Source organism: Homo sapiens, chromosome 7 (genome assembly GCF_000001405.40).
Source record: "Homo sapiens chromosome 7, GRCh38.p14 Primary Assembly".
Taxonomy (NCBI): domain Eukaryota; kingdom Metazoa; phylum Chordata; class Mammalia; order Primates; family Hominidae; genus Homo; species Homo sapiens.
Window position 1 is genome coordinate 367,302 of NC_000007.14, and position 17,655 is coordinate 384,956.

General features: G+C 58.4%; 1 long non-coding RNA gene across 1 annotated transcript, besides 2 other annotated features; it reads left to right on the forward strand.

Annotated features, from left to right (window-relative positions):
* Window positions 1,729–2,253: an enhancer, noted in NCBI's record as "H3K27ac-H3K4me1 hESC enhancer chr7:408996-409520 (GRCh37/hg19 assembly coordinates)". NCBI's record gives its function as "activates a minimal SCP1, AML or CMV promoter by ChIP-STARR-seq in primed H9 embryonic stem cells {active_cell/tissue: H9 hESC(primed)}" and the evidence as "EXISTENCE:reporter gene assay evidence [ECO:0000049][PMID:30033119]".
* Window positions 4,673–4,873: a silencer, noted in NCBI's record as "peak6332 fragment used in MPRA reporter construct". NCBI's record gives its function as "represses an SCP1 promoter by STARR-seq MPRAs in K562 erythroleukemia cells {active_cell/tissue: K562}" and the evidence as "EXISTENCE:reporter gene assay evidence [ECO:0000049][PMID:32103011]".
* LOC442497 (uncharacterized) lies at window positions 12,124–15,578 on the forward strand. The gene is made up of 3 exons (NR_033960.1): window positions 12,124–12,242; window positions 13,117–13,213; window positions 13,548–15,578. It is a non-coding gene; the product is annotated as an uncharacterized LOC442497 (long non-coding RNA).
* The last annotated feature ends 2,077 nt before the right edge of the window (window positions 15,579–17,655 follow it).

Sequence of the window (17,655 nt, forward strand, 5' to 3'; positions counted from 1 at the left end):
CCGAATTTGCATTTCCAGTGGTTCCTGGGTGACACCGACACGGCTGGTCTGGGGGTCATGTTTTGAGAACATCACCTTCTCCAGAGAAGAGACCTGGAAGTGAGTCTTATAAAGCCACATACAAGATTGTGTCACACACACACCTGCCTGGGGCCTTGGGGGCTGGAGTAGAAGGCGCAGAGGCTGCTCCAAAAGGAGGAGGCCAGAGGGCACTTCTGCAGGGGGGCTGCAGCACCCACACCAGGAGGGCAGCAGAGTGTTTGCAAACAAGCCACCCATCCAGACTGCAGCCTGGGGAGGAGGGAGGGGGCCTCTCCAGGCCTCAGGCCGCTGTGCCCACGGTAGGCTGGTGGTGTGAGCCGTCGTCCATCCATGATGGTGAAGAAAGCCTCTCCAGCTCTAAGGCCACCTCCTGTCACCCAGGCATGGGAGAAAGTGGCTGACGCTGAAGACCCCAGCCCCCTCACCAAGGGAACCCCCAGCCCCAGCCCCTTCTGGAAGGCATGGACTGCCTGGAGCCCAGCCCGGTCAGCCAGCTGAGCTAAGAGGATCTGGTGAGTTTAAAGTCGGTCACACTTCTCTGGGCTCTGTAACGAGGGAATGGACTAGATGGGTTGTCAGACATGAGAAACTCTTGGTTGGGGTGGCTACTAGACAGGCCCTCATGAAGAAAGGGGCTGTGGCCATCAGCTCACTGAACAGGTGGGGAAACTGAGGCCCAGAGAGGGATGGGCCTGCCTGAGGCATGGAGGGAGTTGCCCAGATCTGAGCCAGGGCCAGACACCCCTGGTGTGCTCGTCTTCCAGCTGCCACGTGGAGCAGATCACAACATCCCCCCGACCCAGCGTCCCCCCACGGACCCCAGCTCAGAGCACACGTTCTCAGAGTGTGGCTCAAAGACCCCCACAGTTGGCCGGGCACGGCGGCTCACGCCTGTAATCCCAGCACTTTGGGAGGCCAAGGTGGGTGGATCACGAGGTCAGGAGATCGAGACCAGCCTGGGCAACATGGTGAAACCCCGTCTCTACTAAAAATACAAAAAATTAGCCGGGCATGGTGGCGGGCGCCTGTAATCCCAGGTACTTGGGAGGCTGAGGCAGAAGAATCGCTTGAACCCGGGAGGTGAGGGTTGCAGTGAGCCGAGATCGCACCACTGCACTCCAGCCTGGCAACAGAGTAAGACTGTCTCACAAAAATTTTAAAAAAGATCCCCACAGTCGGCAGCAACAGAGGGGGCTGCCGGGCCCACCAGGGCTTATCGAATCATAGCCCTCAACAGCCTATTCTGTGGGTGCTCAGAACAGTTGTCCCCAGTGACCCCACTTCTCCAGGGGTCCACCTGACCTTGATGTGGTCTGCGCACCGGCCACGGAGGCCTGGTGTCTCCCCGGCAGCGGGCACCCTGCACTTCACCAGGAGGGTGGAGAGAGGAGAACGCTTTAGAGCGCCAGCAGCCATCGGGGGTGGACAAGCCCTCCCGGGGCCGCAGCACAGAGCCCCGCCTGGACCACGGCGTCTGGTGACCAGCAGCGTCTCCTAATGTCCCACAGGGTGCCCCGCGTCTGTGGCTGGAACACACCCTCCCACGCCTGCTGTGGTCCAGGTTAGCTGCTCCTGAATCTCACTGGCTGGCTGCTCAGGGACACGATGTGGCTTTAATCACCTGGGTGCTGTTTCAGTATCCACAGGCCCCGTGCACCGTGAGCCCGGAGTCACCCCCGCCTCAGGGAGCCCCCGGCCGAGATCCCTTCCCTCTTCTCGGATTCCTGTGGCAACACCCGCTCCTCCTGCAGGCACTGGGTCTGGCCGCGACTGCGTCCTCCCAGAGGCTGTGAAGGGACACGTTGTGTGCGGTGGCTCCTTAACCTGTTGTCACGGAAGGGGGAACAGACGCCTGGGTAGCAGACGGCTTCGGGAGGGGCGTGGGGCATTCCTGGGCAAGAGCAGACACGGGCCTCGGCGGCCAGGAAGCCGCCCCAGCCGAATTCCGGATGTGGGACCCGGCACATGCCTGGTCTTGTGGGACAGGGGGCCCCTCCCGGTGGTGCTGACAGCCCAGCCCCCCAGGGCAGCCTCTCCGTGCTGCAGGTGGCCTCTCGGAGGCGGAAGATCAGTCCCTCGGGGCTGGGAAGATGGGTCGCATTCCTGGGTCCCACCACGCACCCTGCGTGCCAGGCCCGGGGAACGGATCACGGCACTCATGCCCTTAGACGCGGGCTGACCGAGGCTCCAATCCGCCGTGGCCAGACGCCCGGCGATCGTCCACTGTGCCGAGGCCCCGGGCCCCAGGCTGGCTGCAGAGGCGAACGACGCGGCCGGCCCCGCGCTGCAGACGGGCCGCCTACCCCAGCGGTGCCACCAAGGCCGCTCTCAGGCTGCCCCACAGCTGCGTGCCAAGCCCCTGACGGGCACTTTATGGCACGTTATCTCGCCTGTGCCCCACAACAACCCGGCCGGGTGGGAATTCCGCTCCCATTAAACAGATAAGGAACCGGGATTCGGAGAGGCGAGGGCGGCCCCAGGTCCCGCGGGTTATAAAGCAAGGGCTGGACCCAGCCCGGGCCCACCTGACTCCGAGCCCACCTGATGCTCCGGCACGGGCCCACGCCCCGTTAATAAAATGTAATAAATAGACTCTTTGTTTCAAAGAAAATGTTTTTAAAAGCAAGGCAGCCAAGCCGGGCCCAGGTAACAAGCAGAGGGAGGAGGCCTCAGAGGGAGGAGGCCTCAGCTTCGGACTCAGCCCAGGCCTGGCCTCCCGACTCCCACCACCAGGGGCCTGGCTGTACCTGTGGGGGCTGGAGCCCCAGGGCAGACACTTCGCAGACTCTGTGCAGGGCCAGGTGAGCCCCAGGGCGGAGCTGGCAGCTGAGGGTGCTCCGTGGCTCGGTGCACTGGCCCTGACTCACGAATGCCGCAGCGCGTCCTACGGGAAGCCATGTCACAGCCTCCGTCCTGCAGGGCAAAGGGGGCTGCTGCGGGCAAAGATGGCCAGTGATCTTCTAGGTTACTGGGTGCAGGAAGCAGGAAAAGGCCCAGAGACACTCTCAGTTCTTCCAGAAAGCCCTGGGGGATTTGACTTTGACCACAGTGCGTGCGTCCAGGTATTACCTCATTCCTTGGCTTTTCGCTACAGACAGACTGACCTGGCTGGCCGGGTTGCCGCCTCCCAGTCACAGCTATCAGGTGCAGACCGTTATCTCATAAAACCCAAGGCGGCCTATTAGACGCACCTGGGTGAACACGGGGGGCTGTGGCCACATGAAGGCCAACCTCGGACATGAAAGGCGTCTGGTCGGGGCCATGCTTCCATCTGCCTCCTGTGGACTTTGTTTCCCCAACTAAACATTCATTTCTTGGAGGGCAACGACTGAGCCTTACACTTCTTCCAACACCTGAAGGGTCCAGCGCACAGTAGGCATCCAACACACCCAAAGGGCCCAGTACACAGTAGGCACTCAACACACCCGAGGGGTCCAGCACACAGTAGGTGCTCAACACACCCAAATGGCCCAGCGCACAGTAGGCGTCCAACACACCCGAGGGGCCCAGCGCACAGTAGGCGTCCAACACACCCAAGGGGCCCAGCGCACAGTAGGCGTCCAACACACCCAAAGGGCCCAGTGCACAGTAGGTGTCCAACACACCCTACGGGTCCAGCACACAGTAGGAGTCCCACACACCCGAGGGGCCCAGCACACAGTAGGTGCTCAACACACCCAAATGGCCCAGCACACAGTAGGCATCCAACACACCCAAGGGGCCCAGCACACAGTAGGCGCTCAACACACCCAAATGGCCCAGCACACAGTAGGCATCCAATACACCCAAGGGGCTCAGCACACAGTAGGCGCTCAGCACACCCGAGGGGCCCAGCGCACAATAGGCCTCCAACACCCCCGAGGGGCCCAGCGCAGAGTAGGTGCCCAAGACAAAACGAGATGTTGCCTGGGGCAGGTGACTGCACAGGGCCTGTGAGGGGTGTGGGAGCCTCCCTTGGAGAGTGACAGTCCTTTGGGAGCAAAGGTCAAGGGTGCTGAGCTCTCCCTGTCCTCTGTGTCCTGAGTTGCCACACCCTCCCTTCCAGGTATCTGGAGGACAAAGCACCAAGGCCAACAGCTCAGTCGAAACCGCAAGTCCATTATTCTCTGGGTGGCTCAGTCAGATGAGCCTCAGTTTCCTCCCTTGTGAAATGGGCACATGGACCTCACAGAGTCACTGTGTGAAATCACGGAGCTGTACATCACGACTCTGGTGTCTGGGGAGGGTGTCCCTCTGCATGTACCCAAGAGCCTCCATTCTGAGCCCTGTTACCAGGAGGATGCAGAGGTGGGGCCGTGGTGGGCGACCCTCACTCTCCTCCTTCCTGGTGGGGGGCGACCCTCACTCTCCTCCTTCCTGGTGGGGGGTGACCCCCACTCTCCTCCTCCCTGGTGAGTGGCTACCCCTCTCTCCCTCTTCCTGGTAGGGGGAGATCCTCCCTCTCCTCCTCCCTGGAAGACCCAGGTCAAGCCTCACGGACCCAAATGCCTTTGAGACCATGAAGGAACAGCCCCGCCAGCCAGGCAAGAGGGAAAAGCAGCAACTGAGCCGAATCCACTTCTGGCTTTGGGAGCCGGGGGTGCCTTCAGCAACAGCCTCCTGCTGCCATATGAGCTCGGATCCAATGCAGGCTACAGGCAGCTACGATGGACCAGGCCTTCCCACCTCACGGGCGGCCCTTCACTGCCTCTCCACGGACTGCCCTTGAGGCAGGATCAATCCACCCTGTGCAGAAGAGACGCTGGGCCCGCCCGGCCACACGTCCACCCCACACATCCACCCCATGTACGCTGGGCCCGCCCGGCCACAAGCAGCAGACATCGGGCCTGGACGGGACCCCAGCGAAGCGACTCTGCTCCCTGCGTTCCCCTGCGTGCTGCTCGGGTGGCCGGAACGCCGGGCTCTGGAGAAAGTGTGAGCCGCACTCAGGACAGCCATCCTCACGGGCCTGTGGGTCAGTGGGCTCAGAAATGACCCAACGGAGGCCGCGTGCAGTGGCTCACACCTGTAATCCCGGCGTTTTGGGAGGCCGAGGCGGGAGGATGGCTCGAGCCCAGGACTTCGTGACCAGCCTGGTCAACATGTCGAGCCCCTGTCTCTATAAAAAATTTAAAAATTAGCCGGGTGCGGTGGCGTACACATGTAGTTCCAACTGCTTGGGAGGCTGAGGCAGGAGGATCGCTTGAGCCCAGGAGTTTGCGACTGCAGTGAGCTGTGATCGCACCACTGTACTCCAGCCTGGACGACAGAGTGAGACCCTAACACTCTCCCACTCCCCACCCCCAACGCCAAAAAAGGAAAGAAACGCTCCGAGGGCAACCACGACCGAGCTTGTAGTCCAAGTCCAAGCAGCCCTGTCCACACTCACACCAGCCCTCGACCCCCTGGGCATCAGGACCGCAGCCAGTGCCTCTCACCCAGACTCTGTGCTCCACCCTTGGAGAGTGGGGCAGGGCTGGGCAGAGACCCCCTTCTCTTCCCCACTGTGAGGCCTCCAGCAAGCCCTATTCCCTCCCCGAGATGGCCCCTCCTCTGCAGGAAAACTTCTCCACGTGTGGCCCTAACACGTCGTCTTTAACCGCCGGTCAGCCCCAGAAGGTGCCGGACACCACCTGGGCACCACCAGCCCACAGACAGACATCTGCGTCTCTCTTCTCCCCGGGGCACAGAGGCCAAACCTGCCCCAGCTTCCTCCTCACCCAGCCGCCAAGCTGGGGCTTAGGGGCAAGGATTCCAGAAGCGCTCGCAGAGCCAGAAACCATTCTTCAAGTCAACAAATCACCCCGGCCCCCACCTCCACCGCCGTTTTTAATGGTTAACCAGCACAATAAACACAGCGATAATAGGTTTCTGATCCCTTATCGCCGTCACACCGAGGAGGCTGCCGAGGCTGCAAGTGCCCCCTCCGGGCCGGACCGCAGGCTGGACGCCCCTTTCATCTGCAGCCAAGCAGCTCAAAGGGGAGAGTGTTTCCAAACCAAGCCCTTTCCAGTGCAAATTTTGCAGCAAAAATAGAAAAGGAAATTCTTAATCTGCTGTTTCATGTGTGACGAGCGGTTCTGTGGTGGGACAGCGGCCCCGAGAATGCCCTGTCGCTTTATCTGAGGCCTTCCCCACACAAGTAAGGCTGCATAGCCCAGGCCTTTTGTGCTCTGCGACCAGTGGGCCAGGGCTTTGTTGTGGGCACCCGAGACTGGGCCGGGCTGCCCCATTCCATCGGCCTTTGATCTGAGTTTGGCACCGTAAATGTGGCCGACCGCCTATCCGGGCCTCGGATGCCTGGAGCCTGGTTCCCCACCATGCAGCTTCATCAGGCTTTGAAACAACCGTGCAGGGAGCTAAGCCTGGACGCAGAGGCCGCACCTGCAGCTGACAGCGAGGGAAAGTGGAGGAGGGTTTAAAGCAAAGTCCAGACTCGGAGAAGTCCCGCAGGGGGACCTTGGGCGGTGGAACCTGCTCCGTGCACCCTTCCCCCTTTTATCTCTTAGGAGGGCCTGGGACTTGTGAACACACTTTACCAAAAAACCATAAAGGAAGAAAAGAAGGGGGGGGGAGGGAGAGAGAGAAAAGAAAGAAGAGAAGAGAGGAGAAGGGAAGGGAAGGAGGGTGGGCAGGAGGGAGAGGGAGGGAGGGAAAGGGAAGGAGGGAGGGAGGGAGTGAAAAAAGAAGAAAAAGAAAAGAAGGAAGGAGAGAAAGGGAGAGAGACACAGAGGGAAAGAAGGAAGGGAGGGAGGAAGGAAGGAAAGAAGAAAAAAGAAAGAAGGAGAAAGAGACAGAGGGAAGGAAGGGAGGGAGGAAGGAGGGAGGGAGGGAGGGAAGGAAAGAGTTCAGAAAAATAGTTCCGAGCGACACTCTCTGAAGTTTTAAGAACCTGGCCTCTGTTATGTGATGGTGCCAAGGGCATGAATTGAGGGAGTCGGTGAATGAATGAGCTGAGCCAGCCGTGTTCCTCCCCAGCCGTGTTCCTCTCCCTCTTCCAGGGAACAGCGGGGCCAGCGGGGGGGGACCCCCTTTCCAGTTGGGAGGCCTCAGAGATTCTTCTTTCCCCTTAAAAGGCCTGTCTCCGTGGAATGCCTGCCTCCCAGTGGAACCAGCTGCTGCTTCCCAGTGCAAAAACTCACCCGGGGACCTGGGGTGCTTTTTGCAAACACTGTCTCAGAAGAGCAATGGCGGGGTTCCAGGCCTCGCACCTCACCCCACTCCCACCGCGGCGGCTACCTCTTTCCTCGCACGCTCCATGGAGAGCTGGACCTGCGGGCCGACGGAGGGAACCCTGTACACGCCCCCTCACTCACTCGCCATCCCCTGCCCCAAATGCAGTGAATCTCTCCTGTGGTCCCGGATTCACCGTCTCCACTCAGAGTCGCTAATTCTAGAGACAAGGACGGCCTTGTTCCAGCTGGAACGCACACGGAATGGGAAGGTGAATGGGGTGGGAAGCGTGCGTGGGTCCTGCCACTTGGCTCGTGGGCAGCCCTCTGTGCTGGGGGTCACGTGGGGCCCACGGCCGCCCGTGAAGGAGCCTCCCCTGATGGAGGAGACCTGAGCCCAGGCCGCTGAGTGAGCCCTGAGGTGTGGAACTTGCAGGAGCCCACAGGGGTAGGATGTCTCACAAAGGGTACGGGGTCCGTGTCGGCACCCACGCCACCACCGGACCAGCTGGGAGATCCCGGGCTCAGAGGCAGCCTCTGCCCCAGCGTCTCCTGTGCAGCTGGAGACAGCCAGGTCCTCACTTGGGGACCGAGCCGGCCTCACCTGAGACAGGCCCTTCTGCCCTCAGGCCTGCCTCTCACAGCCTAGCTGCCCATCACAGCTTCATGTTCTGGGCGGGCCGCTCGACCTCTCTGACCCCCAGTGACCCACATCCAAGCTCCGTTTTGGCTAAAGGCGCTGAGATTCCAACCCTGCGGTCCGCGAGGCCCACGGCCCAGAAGCTTGGAACTTGTAGCGTAAGACCTGAGCCTGCTCTGGACTTTCAAAGCTCCACGGGGGCCTCAGCCTGCACCGCATGCATCTGGGGAGGTGGACGAGCAGAGCTCGCCGGTCTCACAGATGGGGAGACTGAGGACCAGATGCTAGAGCCAGAGGAAGGTGCCAGAAGTCCCTGGAAGCAGCAGGGCCTGTGCGTCCATCCCCAGGGCAGATGCTCCTGAAAAGACGCGGCTGCAGAGCGGGACCCGGCAGCGCCCGGAGAGATACTGGAGTGACTCGAGTTAAGACACAGAGGCCACTTTCAGTTCACTGACTGTCCCGGTGCCCGGACCACGGAAATCACTTCCTCGGGCCGTGGGAAAAAACGCAGCCACGGGGTGGGGGGAACCGAACGGGCACGGGGAGGGGCCGCTTTGCATCTTCACACTCGGAGGGGCCTGGCCCTGAGAGGAGAGGAGCCAGGGGCATCCCCGAGGATGGGCAAACAGGCCACCGGCTGACGGAGGCACAGCGGGGCCAGCACTGGGATCCAGCAAAGACGCGGCCGGCAGCTGCCCCGAGAGAGCGCGTCCGTCAGGGAAGAGCGCGTGGGGCTTCCGGTGACCACCCTTCCTTTCCTGACCTCACACCTCGCACCTCTGATAGCTCTTCCCTTCTCAAGAGCTGTCCGTGGCTCCCACTGGCTGCCAACTCAAGCCCCAACGTCTTCCCAGAGGAAGTGGCATTTACACAGGGCCTCGGAGTAGGGGAGGAGGGAGGGCACCGGGCAGGGTGTGGGAACAGAGACCCAAAGGAGACCCGAAGGAGTGGACGTGCATGGCCAGCGCGGCAGGAAGGGGGGTGTGAGGACGGAGGAGAGGGCGGCCCCCCGAGGAGCTGGCAAGCCCATCCTCTCCTGAGGGGACTTGGTGGCTCGGGAAGACCCCCGGGAGTGAGTAGCCCCGGCTGCCGGTGCCCCGGAGACAGGCTACCTGGCCAGTGGCTGCTCAGGAAGACGTTCTGCTTTCTCTCCCGCTGGAAATGGAAGGAGGGGAGGGCGGGGATGGGGGAGCTGCAGAACAGGGGGCCCAGCGAGGGCTGCGAATGGCAGGAAGGCTGTGGGCGGGTGGCGGCTTGCTGAGGCTGGAGGGGCTGCCTGGCCAGGCATTTGCCGTGCAAGTCGGGACGTGCAGCCACCGGCAGCCTCCCCTCAGCCCCCGACTCACAGCCGCAGGCCCCGGCCCACCCTGGGCCCTTCCTGCCCCCGCTCCTGACTGTTCTGGGATATTCCTGGCTTCACGTCCACACTCCGCTGTCTCCTGCTCCGTCCTCGCGGCAGGTCTGGGCCTGTGCGCTGTGGCGACTTGGGCCCGAGGTCTGATGTCTGCTCCGTGACCAGCCTGGCCCAGGCTGTGGGGACAGAGGGTTACTTCTGCAGCCCAGCAGGCACGAGACACAGGCTGGCCCCCAGGGAACAGCCAGACGGTGGGTGGAGATGGGCTGTGTGCCCCCCAGCAGGAGAGCAGGCACCGGGGTGGGCTCATGGCTGGGAGCCCCGTCCTCGGGTGGCCTCTGGGCTGGGCGTCTTTGGGTGGGTGTCTTTGCTGGATCCGTCAACCCTACCTGAAGCCGGGGTTTCTGAGGCATGAGACCCAGGCCCCGAGGTGCAAGGGTGGTGGGCGGGGCGGCAGCTCCCGGCGGACACACCCAGGGCGTCCTACAATGCATTTGAATGTTCAACGCAGCATTCGCCTCTCTGGGCCTCAGTTTCCTCCTCTGTGACTCAGGACAATGGTCCCAGCCCCGTTTCCAGGAAGGCAGAGGACCTTGAGGCCGGAGTCTCGGACGGGGAAAGCCTGTGGTCCCCTGTGCCCATGGGAGAGGCCGTCATTCTCACCGGTCCCATGTCAGGAAAATAAATCAGCGCTGACCACCCAGGGCTTGAGGCCGGCCCCCCCTGAGTGTGGCAGAGGACAAGGCAGCCGGGGCGCCTGGGGCAGTGGATGGAAGGGGGTAGGTGGAGGCTCTGCTGGGGAGGGCATGGCAGGACCCCAACAGGCAGCCCCACCCACTCCCACCCTCAGGGCAGGGACCTGACTTGGCACGGGGGGGCCTTAGGGGCGGGAGACCAAGGGCTTCTGAGACCGGGGCCAGGGCGGGACGGCCTTCTCCAGCGAGCAGGAAACAGATGGGCTGACCAGGGCAGCTTAGGCCCCCAGAGCAGGTAACCAGCCTCTGCGGAGAGGGAGTCGGGGGCTGGAAGTGAGGTTGACCTAGCGCCCCTGTCACAGCCCCACCCAGGCCTGGCAAGGCCACCTCCGACCCAGCCACACCCCAGGTGCCCCTGTCAGCACGGTGAGGACAGCAAGTCTGAGGCCAGGCACAAAAGAAGCCGAGGGGAGTAGGGCCGGGTGGGCGGCTGGGGCTCCTCCCTCTCCTGGGCTCAGCAGAGAGCACGGGCGTAAGGCTTCCGTCCGCACCCCGCCCATCCCAGCCTGACCCTCCTGCCGGCTGACCAGAGCCTCAGGAAGCGGGAGAGAATCTCTGTGGGCTCAGCCAGGCCAGGGAAAGGTGACTGTCCACAGCACGAAAGACCTGCCCCTTCCTGCCCGCCAGGTGTGGACCTGGCCCTGCTCCTGGCATTGGGTACTGGGCAGAATCCCAGAGGTTAGAGCAGCTCACACCCCTCTCGGTGGGACACCCGGCTGTGAACCCCACTCACAGCCCTGCGGCCTTGGGCCAGGGACTCACTTTCCCAGGGCCTCAGTTTTCTTCTTCTTTCTTGTGAGACAAGTTTCCCTCTGTGGCCCAGGCTACAGTGCAGTGGTGTGATCTCCACTCACCGCAGCCTGGAACTCACGGGCTCAAATGACCCTCCTGCCTCAGCCTCCTGGGTAGCTGGGACCACAGGCGTGCACCACCATGCCTGGCTAAAGTTTCTATTTTTGTAGAGACGGATCTCCCTGTGCTGCCCCGGCTTGTCTTGCGCTCTTGGACTCAAGCGATCCTCCCGCCTTGGTCTCCTAAAGTCCCGGGATTACAGGTTCTAGCCACCATGCCCGGCCGAGCCTCAGTTGTCTTATCTGTGAAATGTGAAGACAATAATAGCCACCTCCTAAATCACTGGGAACAGTAAACCGGGAAATCCTCACTGCTCGGAACACAGAAAACAATGAATAGCAACAATTTTCTTCACCATTAATTTATTTTTCATTCACGAAGAAGCCCGTGGGGTACAACTGAGTTAGAGACACAGGACGCTGCGCCGGCGGTGCCAGCTCCTGAACCCGGCCACCTGCAGTCACTCACACGTCCTGGGAGCTGACAAGCTCAGCCCCACTGCGTGGCGGCCCAGGGCCAAGGGTGTGGAGGCTGCCCCGTCTGCGCCCATTTCACGACTGTGGGACTGCTCCACACCTGGGGTCTCAACAGACCCCCACACCAGTCCTAGCGTAGAGAACCGAGGATGCCCTCCTTGCAGATGACAACCCCAAGGCCAAGAGCAGGGAAGGGCCCTGGTCACCCAGCCAGGCCGGCAGAGCTGTGGCTGGACCACGCCGGGTGAGAGCCTCCCCCACCTGGACGCATGGTCTGGCCCACGGCCTGTCCCCGCTCTCAGGCTGCTTCTGTGCTTGCCACGGAGCAGGATCCTCACACTTCCTCCCGCCCAACAGCCCCGCAGGCGCCAGGACCCCCAGGCCTGGGGTGTATCTTCTCCAAGAGAAGCTCCCAACCGCCCCTCTGTAGGTCCCGGGCTGCTGCCACCTCGGGCTCCTTCCCTGGGTCGCAGGGGTCTCTGGGGGCAACTCCTCTCCATGTGTGGCCCGACAGGGAAATCTCCTTCATAGCAAAGCATGGGTGGGCCCGGGTCCCGCCGACCACGGCCCCTGTCCCAAGGCCGCCTCTGGACACTCCAAGCTGTACTGCCTGGAGGACGAGGCCGGCCCGGGACCAGGGAGGCTCAGGTGCGGCTCCTCAGGTGCAGGACGCGGGGCAGCAGGTCTGGGGAGGGCACAGGGCTCGGAGGACTTGGCTGTGAGCAGCCGGGCACTGCCCGAGCTTCCTGCTTCCACAGCCCCGCGGCTGTCCACGTCCTCCCTGCTCAAAGTCCGGGGCGGGACCTCCTGTCACAGACTCTTCTGAAGCTGCCCCGGAGGGGAGGGGCCACCCACAGGACTCCTGCCCCATGCTGGCACCGCCATCCACTTCTCTGAGCCTCGTCCGCTCATCCGTGAAGTGGCCGTAACTGTGGCACCTGCTCAGGACGCCTGGAGACCAGGAGGAGAGGGGTGAGGGCCTCGCGTGGCTCCCAGGAGAGGGGCCGCCCCGGAAGGGCTCGTTTCGTCCCTGGGGGCTGGGCCACCTGCACTCGAGTTTCCCGGTCTGTAAAGCGAGGACGCGGCTCTGGATCAGCAGACCGGAGACTGGGGCCAGCCGGGTGCTGGGCGTGCGTTGGAGGCGCTGTCTGACACCTTGGAGGCGTCCTCCCGGCTTCGTTCCAGTTTCTCCAAAGGCGAATCGCGCCAAGGACCCGGCCCAGCCCAAGAGGAAGGCGCATTGTCCCGAGACTGGCCTGGGCCCGGGAGGGGAGGGAGCGGTTGGGGGTGGCCCTTGCCGGGAGCCCCTCTCTGGGGGGCGTGGCCTGGGCGGGGGCCAGTGTCCTGCGGTCTTGGACCCTGGGCTGAGGTAAGCGTCGTCCTGGGAAAGTGTGGCTCAGCAGGAAGGAGCGGAGCACAGTGAGAGCCGCAGGGACTTCCGGGAATTGGAGAGGGAAGTGTGGGGAGAGGAGGCCGCGGCAGGTGCCTCTGGGGTGGCTTCCAGGCAGGCGAGGAGCTGCTCTGGTGGCCCCCCCGGATGATCCACCCCCAGGTCAGCAGGACTCTGGGCTCCGGTCGCCCCTCCCTCCTCAAGGGTTTATTCCACATGCCCCACGGCCCACCCCGCTCTGCGCAAATTTCCCCTTCGTATAAGGTCGCTGGGTCCGCCCTACTCCTGTGACCGCATCTAAACAAATCACAGCTGCGACAACCCGGCTTCCAAATATGGCCACACACGGAGGCCCCAGAGGTTCGGACTCCACACATGGATTTGGGGAGACACGAATTGGCCTATAACAGGCTCTTGTGCAGAAGGGGAGGTGATGGAGGTGGCTTCTATTCCCAGGACCCTCAATGCTCAGAACGGAGAGTGGCAGACAAGGGGCCTGGTCTGGAAAACTGATCCCCAGCAAAGCCTCCTGCTGAGTGACGTCTTCGTGCAGGTGCAGCTCGGACAGAGGGAGGGAGGGGAGGGGGCAGGGGGACAGAGGGAGGCAGGGGAGGGGGCAGGGGGACAGAGGGAGGGAGGGGAGGGGGCAGGGGGACAGAGGGAGGGAGGGGAGGGGGCAGGGGGACAGAGGGAGGGAGGGGAGGGGGCAGGAGGACAGAGGGAGGGAGGGGAGGGGACTGGAGCAAACAGCAGGTGGTGAGCTCCTGGGCCAGACACAGCCAATTACCAGACACAAGGGACAATCCCATGGCCACTTGGGACCCCAGCCCTCTCCCCGGGAGAGCCAGGGAGGGAAATTCACCTGCCTGCCCCTTCTCATCTCCCAGGTCCCGCTGGTGACCGTGGCCCATGGGATGTCTCTGACCTGCAGCAGCGTCACTCACCCCTCTGAGCAAGCTCTGGGAGGCAGCGTCCCTGTGGATCTGGCATCTGTAGAGACTGCACCATGAACAGCCTTCACTCAGGAGGCAGGTGATGGCCAGGACTCCCTGAGACAGGGGACGCAGAAGGAAGGGGCAGCGGGCTGTGCCCTGGGGGGATCACACTCCCCTGCTCGCAGCTCAGGGGAGCTGGGGGTGGGTGCTGGATCCCCTGAGGCAGCAGGAGACCCCTGCCTTCAGCTCAGAGTGAGCCTCCCCTTTGTCCTGCCTCCCATCAGCTTGAAGCTGCCTCAGTTTCCCTCCCTCCTGGCCCTCATGAACCTCCTGGTGGGTCCAGGGCTTTGGCCAGCAGAGCTAGTGCATGAAGTGTGGAGATGCGGGATGGCATTGCCCCCGGCAGGGACCCCGCGAGCCTGCATGCACGCTGTGCAGACTGATGAGCCGTCCACGGCACTGACTCAAACCATCCAGAGGGGAGTGGGGGATGCCCACAGGTGGGGACACTGAGGCACCGAGAAGGGACCGACCCAGGGTCCTGCTTAAAGAGAGACATCAGGAGACGCCTGGCACAGACAAGACTTATTTTTCCGGGTGCCTCCCACTAAGCCCTGCTATAAATCCAGGAAACTGCACGTGCAGTGGACAGAAAATTCCAAAGCATGCAAGTGGTCAGGGCCCAGGTGGGAGAGACGGCCGGGTGACAGGAAGGAAGAGAGCCAGGCTGGGCATTTCCTGACTCCCAGCCTAGCAAGAGAAGGCAGCTGGGGGGTGGGAGCCATTCCCCTGCCAGGTGCAACAGGGGCCTTGAGCAGGGGGCTCGGCACAGCAAACCACGCCCAGAAAGCCCCTTGGTCCCTGTGGGCCTGAGACCCTCCTCCCCACCAAGAAGTACGGGTGGCATCGGTAGGGGAATGCCACAGCATGCTGGCTCAGCACAGGAAGCGACCATCGGGTAGAAACTTCCTTCCCCACCTAGAGCTGCCACATGGCCGGGGAAATCCCCGGCCCCTCAGGAAGCACCAGTGGAAACTCTGCCAGCACCAGATCAACCAAGGATACCCAGACGGCACCACCCATCCCAAAGAGTAAAAATGTCAGGAACCACAGTTCATGACACCAGCCAGGACCTGGTGCCAACCTACAGGGCGGTGGCCTAGGAAAATAAAGTACATCCACAGGACTCAGAGTCTCTAAGCAGGGCCAAAATGCCCAGGATACAAGCAAAAGCTGCTCATCACAGCAAAAGCTGGAGGACACACACGTGAATGAGAAAAGACAATGAATGACACCAGTGCCAGGACCAGCTCGAGGCTGAGGACACGACCAGGAGGCCAGGGTTGTCACCACAGGGCACCATGACAAAGCAATGCACTCTCCAGAAACAAATGAAGTAGAAGACCTCAGCAAAGACACAGAAGTTATCAGAAAGAACCAAAGGGAATACACAGAGCTAACAACTACAAACACAGAAACAAAACTCTCCGGATGTACTCAGTAGTAAAGTGAAGATGGCAGAGGACACAGCCAGTGAACCTGAGGACACAGCAGTAGAATGGGCCCAATAAGAACCATAGAGAGAGAAAGGGAGGGAGGAAGGGAGGAGGGAGGAAGGAAGGGAGGAAGAGAGGGAGGGAGAAAGGAGAGGAAAAAGGGAGAAGTGAGGGAGGGAGGGAAGGAGGAGGGAACAGAGGAAGAAAAAACGAACAGAGCTTCAGGAACCAGTAGAACAATAACCAAAGACCCACCCGATTTTCAGGAAGAGAACAGGACTGACTGAGGATTTGAATAAGTAATAATGGAATACTTCTCAAATGTGGTGAAAAACATAAACTCACAGAATGAGTGAAAATAAAAATACATCAAAATGTGTGGTATGAAGCAGAGCTTAGAGGGAAATTTATAGTACCAAATACTTAATATTAGAAAAAGAGAAAGCATCTCAAATCAATCATCTAAGTTTTGGCCTCAGGAAACTAGAGAAAGAAGAACAGATTAAATGAGAAGTGGGAAGAAGGAAGGAAATGATAAAGGACAGAAATTAATGAAATTGAAAACAAGAAAACAACAGAGAAAATCAATCAACATAAATTGGTTCTTTTGAAAATCTGTAAAATTGATAAACCACTAGCAAGACTGACAAAAATAAAAAGAAGACGCAAATCACCAATGTCAGAGATAAAACAGGGGATATCACTACAAATCCTGTGGTCATTAAAAGGATCATAAGAAAATACTATGAATAACTTTACACTCATGAGTTTGACAACTTAGAAGAAATGGACCAATTCTTTAAAAACATAAGCCATCAAAACTCAACCAAGATGAAATAGATCATTTGAATAGTCTTAGAACCATCACAGCAGTTGAATTCATAATTTAAAAGTTCCCCAAAAAGAAATCTCTCAGATCAGATGGTTTTACTGGAGAATCTTACCAAACATTTAAAGGAGCAACACCAATTTTACACAATTTCTTCCAGAACACAGAAGAGGAAGGAACACTTTCCCACTTATTTTGTGAAACTGGCTCTATCCTGACACCAAATTAAAGACTAGTTTTAAAATCCTACTACAGACCAGTGTCTCTCCTGAACATAGAGGCAAAAATCCTCCACTAAATACAAGCAAATATAATCCAACAATGTATAAAAATAATTATACACCAAGAACAAGTGAGACTCATACCAAATACGTGAGATTGACTGAGCACTGAAAAATCAGATGATGCAACCCATCAGATTAACAGGCTAAAGAAGAGGAAAATGATATAACTTTATCAATCTATGCAGAAAATATATTTGAGATTGGCTGAGCATTGAAAAATCAGATGGTGCGATCCATCAGATTAACAGGTTAAAAAAAGAGGAAAATGATATAATCTTATCAATCTATGCAGAAAATGTATTTGGCATAATTCAACACACATTCTTAATAAAAATTATTGGCAAATTAGAAGTAGCAGGGAACTTCCATAACTTGCTAACAAGCATCTACAAAATCCCTGCAGCTAACCTCACTTAATATAAAAGGCCAAATGCTCTTCCCTGAGATCAGGAGCAAGACAAGGATATTCATTCCCACCACTTTCATTCAACACGCTGGAAGTTCTATTCACTGCACTAAGGTAAGAAAAATAAATAAAAGGCACACGGATTGGAAAGGAAGAAATAAAATGATCTCTGTTTATCAAGGGCATTATTATTCACATGGACCATCCCAACAAATGTACAAAAAACAAAAAACTAATTAGTGAGTTCAGTGCAATCACAGGATACAAGATCGACATTCAAAAAATCAATCACATTTCCATAGACTAACAATGAAAATGTGGAAACAAAATTTTAAAATGTATTATCATTTACAAGCACTCCAAGAATAATGAAATGCTTAGACATAAACTTGATAAAATATGTCTAGTACTTGTAGGCTGAAAATTACAAAATGCTGATGAAAGGACCAAAAAAGACCTAAACAAATGAAGAAAGATATACCATGTTCATGGATTGGAAGACTCAACATAGTGTCACCTACCATGAGACTGATCTATTGATTTAATGAAATCTCTATCTAAATCCCCCAAGTCTCTTTGTAAATATAGACAAGCTTATTCTAAAATTTATATGGAAAGGCACAGGCTCCAGCTAAACAATCTTGGAAAAAGCATGAAGAGCTACTCTGCTGGGTATAAAAGATTACTGTCTTCACCAAGTCCGTATCAAAAGAGGTTTGGACACATAGATGAATGGAACAGCAGGGAACTCAGACATAGACCCACACAAATATGCCCTGCTGGTTTCCAACAGAGGTGCAAACATAATTCCGTGGAGGATGGGTGGCCTTTCAACAAATGGTGTTGGAGCAATTGGACATCCATAGGCAAAAAATGAGTATCCACCAAAACCTCACACCTTATACAAAATGCAAACAAACAAACAAACAAAAAACCTGTTATATTGAAACCAAAGTTTGAAAACTCGACACCAAAGGAAAAATTCGTAAATTGCACTTCATCAAAATTAAAGACCTTTACTCTGCAAAAGACCTTATAGATGAAA